This window comes from Homo sapiens, chromosome 12 (genome assembly GCF_000001405.40).
Source record: "Homo sapiens chromosome 12, GRCh38.p14 Primary Assembly".
Lineage (NCBI taxonomy): Eukaryota > Metazoa > Chordata > Mammalia > Primates > Hominidae > Homo > Homo sapiens.
In genome coordinates, this window is record NC_000012.12 from 123,377,093 (window position 1) to 123,384,131 (window position 7,039).

Sequence of the window (7,039 nt, forward strand, 5' to 3'; positions counted from 1 at the left end):
CAGCCTCCCGAGTAGCTGGGACTACAGGTGCCCACCACCACGCTGGGCTAATTTTTTGTATTTTTAATAGAGACGGGGTTTCACCATGTTAGCCAGGATGGTCTCGAACTCCTGACCTCGTGATCCGCCCACCTTGGCCTCCCAAAGTGCTGGGATTACAGGCATGAGCCCGGCCAATTTTTTGGATTTTTGGTAGAGACAGTGTTTCACCATGTTTACCAGGGTGATCTCGAACTCCTGATCTAAGGTGATCCACCCGCCTTGTCCTCCCAAAGTGCTGAGATTACAGGTGTGAGCCACCGTGCCCGGCCCTAATTTTTGTATTTTTAGTAGAGACAGGGTTTCACCATGTTGGCCAGGCTGGTCTCGAACTCCTGACCTCAGGTGATACGCCCACCTCGGCCTCCCAAAGTGCTGGAATTACAGGCGTGAGGCATAGCACCTGGCATATTGTACATACATTATACATATTAATATATGTGTGTATATAGAGAAAGGTACTTTTAGGCCAGGCATGTTGGCTCAGGCCTAAAGGAGGTTGGAGAAGCACTTGAAGCCAGGAGTTCAAGACCAACCTGGGCAACGTACTGAAACCTGGTCTCTATTAAGAAAAAAAAAAAAAAAAGAGGCGGGCACAGTGCCTGACGCCTGTTAATCCCAACACTTTGGGAGGCCGAGGCGGGCAGATCACGAGATCAAGAGATTCAGATCATCCTGGCCAACATGGTGAATCCCCATCTCTACTAAAAATACAAAAATTAGCTGGGCATGGTGGTGTGCAGCTATCATCTCAGCCACTGGGGAGGCCGAGGCAGGAGAATCACTTGAACCCAAGAGATAGAGGTTGCAGTGTGAGCCAAGATCGCGCCATTGCACTCCAGCCCGGTGACAGAGTGAGACTTCATCTCAAAAAAAAAAAAAAAGAAAGAAAAAATGAAGATAGTAACATATATTTATATATATTTGCACATCCTCTATCTCATATATATATATATATATATTTTTTTTAATTTGAGACGGAGTTTCACTCTTGTTGCCCAGGCTGGAGTGCAATGGCACAATCTCACCTCACCACAACCTCCACCTCCCGGGTTCAAGCAATTCTCCTGCCTCAGCCTCCCGAGTAGCTGAGATCACATGCATGCGCCACCACGCCTGGCTAATTTTGTATTTTTAGTAGAGACAAGGTTTCTCCGTATTGGTCAGGCTGGTCTCGAACTCCTGACCTCAGGTGATCCACCTGCCTCTGTCTCCCAAAGTGCTAGGATTATAGGCGTCAGCCACCGTGCCTGGCCATATATTTTTTTTTTATTCTCACTTTGTCGCTCAGGCTGGGGTGCAGTGGTGTAATCTTGGCTCACTGCAACCTCTGCCTCCCAGGTTCAAGCGATTTTCCTGCCTCAGCATCCCAAGTAGCTGGGATTACAGGTGTGTGCCACCTGTAGTTTTTTTGTATTTTTCGTAGAGACTGGGTTTCGCCATGTTGGCCAGGCTGGTCTCGAACTCCCAACCTCAAGTCATATTCCTGCCTGGGCCTCCCAAAGTGCTGGGGTTACAGGCATGAGCCACCACGCCCAGTGTCGATAATTATAATTTATGTACTCTTTGCAATAAATTAGTATTCAGATTTACAATCTATGAATCTACCCTTTGCTTAAAACCATTTAGTGGCTTTCCATTGGACTGGAGTAAAAATATAAGTCTTACTAGTGCCCTTCTGTAAGTCAGCATCCAGTTAGGAAAACAGAGAGGTTAAAATAGGAAATTCATTAAACGGGTGACAGAGGACTGAGAAGGCAGAAAGGGAACACCGAGGCAATGTAAATAACAACTAGAGGAAGCAGCTACCACCTCCAAAGCTGGAGATAAAAATAAAAACAAGTTGGGGTTAGCACAGCTAGCAAAATCGGAGGAAGAGCCCCGGAGAGCTCGTTCTCACCCCTCTAAGAAAGAGGCACATAGCCAGGCGCTGTGATTCATGCCTGTAATCCCAGCACTTTCAGAGGCAGAGGTGGGCGGATCACTTGAGGTCAGGAGTTCGAGACCAGCCTGGCCAACATGGCAAAACCCTGTCTCTACTAAAAATACAAAAAATTAGCCTGATGTGGTGGTGCATGCCGGCAATTCCAGCTATGTGGGAGGCTGAGGCAGGAGAATCGTTTGAACCCAGAAGGCAGAGGTTGCAGTGAGCTGAGATTGTGCCACTGGGGTGACAGAGCGAGACTCTGTCTCAAAAAAAAAGACAGAAAGAAAAAAAGAAAGAGGCACAACCAGATTGGTGCTGGGCCTCCCAGAGCCCTGTGTAGTTGGGACTCAAAACTCTGAGGAGGGGTCTGCTGTTGGTGCCTCCGCGGGAGCACAAGGAGGCTGTCTCTGGGAGTGTACAAAGAACCTGGAGACTGAACCAAATACTACTGCCAGAGGCAGTGTTATTACTGAGGGGAACATGCTAGGAATAGTAAGCAAACAGGCAAGAACAAGTCCCCTCTCTTCCTCCTGCCTCCCAGACTGCTTCTATCTGCTCTCATTGGAAGAACCTAACATTAACTGAGAACGGGGAATTATGGTTTGCTGCTCTGTATCACAGAACAGGGTAGAAATGTGGATATTACCCAGGCTGATCTCAAACTTATGAGATCAAGCGATACACCTGCCACGGACTCCCAAAGTGCTGGGATTACAAGCATAAGCCACCAGGCCTGGCCTGCCTTTTTTCCTTATAGCATTAATCACTATTTATAATGATCTTTTGGGCTGGGAGCAGTGGCTCATGCCTGTAGTCCTAGCAATTTGGAAGGCCAAGGTGGGCAGATCACTTGAGGTCAGGAGTTTGAGACCAGCCTGGCCAACATGGCAAAACCCCACCTCTACTAAAAATACAAAAATTAGCTGGGTGTGGTGGCGGGTGCCTGTAATCCCAGCTATCTGGGAGGCTGAGGCAGGAGAATCGCTTGAACCCGGGAGGCGGAGGTTGTGGTGAGCCAAGATCCTGCCACTTCACTCCAGCTTGGGCGATAGAGCAAGACTCTGTCTCAAAAAATAAATAGGCCGGGTGCGGTGGCTCACCCCTGTAATCCCAGCACTTTGGGAGGCCGAGGTGGACTGATCATCACCTGAGGTCAGGAGTTTGAGACCAGCCTGACCAACATGGAGAAACCCTTGTCTCTACTAAAAATACAAAATTAGCTGGGTATCGTGGCGCATGCCTGTAATCCCAGCTACTCGGGAGGTTGAGGCAGGAGAATCGCTTGAACCTGGGAGGTGGAGGTTGCGGTGAGCCGAGATTGTGCCATTGCACTCCAGCCTGGGCAACAAGAGTGAAACTCTGTCTCAAAAAATAAATAAATAAAATAAATAAATTAATTAAATTAAATAATCTTTTGGATGGGCGTGTGGCTCACGCCTGTAGTCCCAACACTTCGGGAGGCCAAGGCAGGTAGATCATTTGAGGTCAGGAATTCAAGACCAGCCTGGCCAACGTGGTGAAACCCCTTCTCTACCAAAAATACAAAAATATGCCCGGGCGCGGTGGCTCACGCCTGTAAGGCAAGCGCTTTGGGAGGCTGAGGCGGGTGGATCACTTGAGGCCAGGAGTTCAAGACTAGCCTGGGGAGCATGGTGGAACCCCGTCTCTACTAAAAATACAAAAAAGAAATAGCTGGGTGTTTTGGCGCATGCCTATAATCCCAGCTACTCGGGAGGCTGAGGCAGGAGAATTGCTTGAACCTAGGAGGCAGAGGTTGCAGTGAGCCGAGATCACGCCATTGCACTCCAGCCTGGGTGACAGAGCGAGACTCCGTCTCAAAAAAAAAAAAATAGGTGGGCATGATGGCACACTCTTGTAATCCCAACTACTTGGGAGGCTGAGGCAGGAGAATTGCTTGAGCCCAGGAGGTGGAGGTTGCAGTGAGTCGAGAACGTGCCCCTGCACTCTAGCCTGGATGACAGAATGCGACCCTGTCTTAAAAAATAAATAAAATAAAAATAATCTTTTAGGCTAGGGGTGGTGGGCTCATGCCTGTAATCCTAGCACTTTGGAAGGCTGAGGCAGCTGGATCACATGATGCCAGGAGTTTGAGACCAGACTGGCCAACATGGAGAAACACTATCTCTATTAAAAATACAAAAATTGGGCTGAGCGCAGTGGGTCACGCCTGTAATCCCAGCACTTTGGGAGGCTGAGGCCGTCATATCAATTGAGGTTAGGAGTTCGAATCCAGCCTGGCCAACATGGTGAAACCCCATCTCTACTAAAAATACAAAAATTAGCCAGCCATGGTAGTGGGCGCCTATAATTCCAGCTACTCAGAATGCTGAGGCAGGAGAATTGCTTGAGCCCAGGAGGCAGATGTTGCAGTGAGCCGAGATCAAACCACTGCACTCCAGCCTAGGGAGACAGAGAGAGACTCCGTCTCAAGAAAAATAAAAATAAATAAACAAAATGATCTTTTTTTTCTTTTTTCTCTTTTTTTTTTTTTGAGATGGAGTCTCTCTTTGTCGCCTAGGCTGGAGTGCAGTGGCGTGATCTCGGCTCACTGCAAGCTCTGCCTCAGCCTCCCGAGTAGCTGGGACTCCAGGTGCCTGCCACCACGCCCGGCTAATTTTTTTTTTTTTGTATTTTTAGTAGAGATGGGGTTTCACCGTGTTAGCCAGGATGGTCTCGATCTTCTGACCTGGTGATCCGCCCACCTCAGCCTCCCAAAGTGCTGGGATTACAGGTGTGAGTCACCACACCCAGCCTTAAAATTATCTTTTAAATAATGCCTTGTTTCTTCCCTAAAAGAATGCAGGGAAGGAGCTGTGTCTACTTTCCCTTCGGATCCTTGGGGGATCCAAAACAGCGGCAGGCATAGAGCTCAATAAATGTTGAAATAATCAATTTTGGAGAAAGCAAACACCTCTCTCTCTATATATATTTTTTGTTTGTTTGTTTGTTTGTTTTGAGACAGAGTCTCGCTCTGGTGCCCAGGCTGGATTGCAGTGGGACGATCTTGGCTCACTGCAACCTCTGCCTCCCGGGTTCAAGCACTTCTCCGCCTCAGCCTCCTGAGTAGTGAGATTACAGGCACGCACCACCACGCCTGGCTAATTTTTGTATTTTTAGTAGAAACGGGGTTTTCACCATGTTGGTCAGGCTGGTCTTGAATTCCTGACCTCGTGATCCACCTGCCTCGGCCTCCCAGAGTGCTGGGATTACAGGTGAGAGCCACTGCACACTGCCACACTTCCACATATTTATGGAAGCTGTAAGGCATGTTGGAGATTACGGCACCAGCTCCTTCATTTGACAGGTAGGGAAATGGAAGGCCAGAGAGCTGAACTGATGTGCCAAGTGACACAGTGACTTTGTGACAAAAGTGTCCTTTTCTACCTTTCCCAGTGCTTTCACATATATCATTTTATTTTCCTTTCCTATTTTCCTGGTGCTTTGGAAGAGTCTTTGGGCAATGGTTGGGTCTCCAAAACCTTTTCAATTACCAAAGAGACAGGATGGATTAGTGACCTCGTCCCACACCCCTGGGAGGGGCCCCAGGGAAGAGCAGTAGTAACTGGACGCCTTCCCTGAGTCCAAAGCAGACACTCCAGGACACCTGATTCTCTGGGAACATACTGACTGAGCCCCCTCTCTCAGAGGGGAACAGCGAATACTTGCTTCCCTCGGGATAAGGTAGCCATTTAGTGTTTGAACAGTGGAGAGACTGACCCAGGCCCTGCAATTACATTGCTGGGTGACCTTGGGCAGCGCGTAAGTGACCCGCTTCCTCTATTGCCCCATCTGTAAAATGGGTGGGTGTGAAGCATTAGGATCTTTGCGGTCCTGGAAGGACCTTCCCTACTGACCCAGTTAGTTGGTAGGAGTTGTGTCTGTGGGTTTTTTTTTTTTTCTTTTTTTGAGACGGAGTCTCGTTCTGTCGCCCAGGCTGGAGTGCAGCGGCGTGATCTCGGCTCACTGCAAGCTCTGTCTCCCGGGTTCACGCCATTGTCCTGCCTCGGCCTCCCAGGTAGCTGGGACTACAGGCGCCCGCCACCACGCCCGGCTCATTTTTTTTGTATTTTTAGTAGAGACGGGGTTTCACCGTGTTAGCCAGGATGGTCTCGATCTCCTGACCTCGTAATCCACCCGCCTCGGCCTCCCAAAGTGCTGAGATTACAGGCGTGAGCCACCGCGCCCGGCCGGGTTTTGAATACTGGAATATTCAATAAACCTTTTTTTTTTTTTTTTTTTTTGAGACAGTGTTTCGCTCTTGTTGCCCAGGCTGGAGTGCAATGGCGCGATCTCGGCTCACCGTAACCTCTGCCTCCCGAGTAGCTGGGATTACATGCTATTCTCCGGCCTCAGCCTCCCGAGTAGCTGGGATTACATGCATGCGATACCACGCCCGGCTAATTTTGTATTTTTAGTAGAGACTGGGTTTCTCTATATTGGTCAGGCTGGTCTCGAACCACGGACCTCAGGTGATCCGCCCGCCTCAGCCTCCCAAAGTGCTGGGATTACAGGCATGAGCCACCGCGCCCGGCCAAAACCTTTCAAACCTGAGAATGAATGGATCAAACTGCTGGAGAGGTCGGTGTGCTGGAGTTGCTAAACTGCTGGGAGACTCAGGTTTCCCAGCTCTTAAGGGAAGATCGAGGGGTCAAAGGTCGGGTTCCGGTCAAGCCCACAGAGAACCGGAAGTCCCAGATCCGGTCGGCTCGGAGCCCAGGGCTCCAGCCGGGCTACTCACGCTCCGGAGGCGGAGCTTCAGCAGCGGGAGGGGGAGGAATCTGGGGCCTCCCAATGGCAGCTCGGGTGTCTTCCATCGCAGCCATTCAACGTCTGGCGACGGTCAAATTTAAACACCCCTCCCACCTCCTCCGCCGGGACCTGTCGGGAAAGCGTTTGCAGTTATTGCGGCGGCTGGACACGCCCCGCCGCCGAAGAGGCGGGAGAAGGGCGGGGCCTTTCTCCGAGTTGGCCTATCACTACGGGCAGCCTGCGGAGAGGCGGGAGGCGGCGCCAATCGGGGCGAGCAGCTGGAGCCCGGCGGAGCAGTTGGCT

At 50.2% G+C, this 7,039-nt stretch overlaps 3 annotated features.

The window, feature by feature from the left end:
* Positions 6,011 to 6,233: a silencer, noted in NCBI's record as "fragment chr12:123867650-123867872 (GRCh37/hg19 assembly coordinates)". NCBI's record gives its function as "represses an EF-1alpha promoter that drives an FKBP-Casp9 reporter gene in an ReSE screen in K562 erythroleukemia cells {active_cell/tissue: K562}" and the evidence as "EXISTENCE:reporter gene assay evidence [ECO:0000049][PMID:32094911]".
* Positions 6,198 to 6,928: an enhancer, noted in NCBI's record as "H3K27ac-H3K4me1 hESC enhancer chr12:123867837-123868567 (GRCh37/hg19 assembly coordinates)". NCBI's record gives its function as "activates a minimal SCP1, AML or CMV promoter by ChIP-STARR-seq in naive and primed H9 embryonic stem cells {active_cell/tissue: H9 hESC(naive and primed)}" and the evidence as "EXISTENCE:reporter gene assay evidence [ECO:0000049][PMID:30033119]".
* Positions 6,451 to 6,670: an enhancer, noted in NCBI's record as "active region_7261". NCBI's record gives its function as "activates an Ori minimal core promoter by ATAC-STARR-seq in GM12878 lymphoblastoid cells {active_cell/tissue: GM12878}" and the evidence as "EXISTENCE:reporter gene assay evidence [ECO:0000049][PMID:35858748]".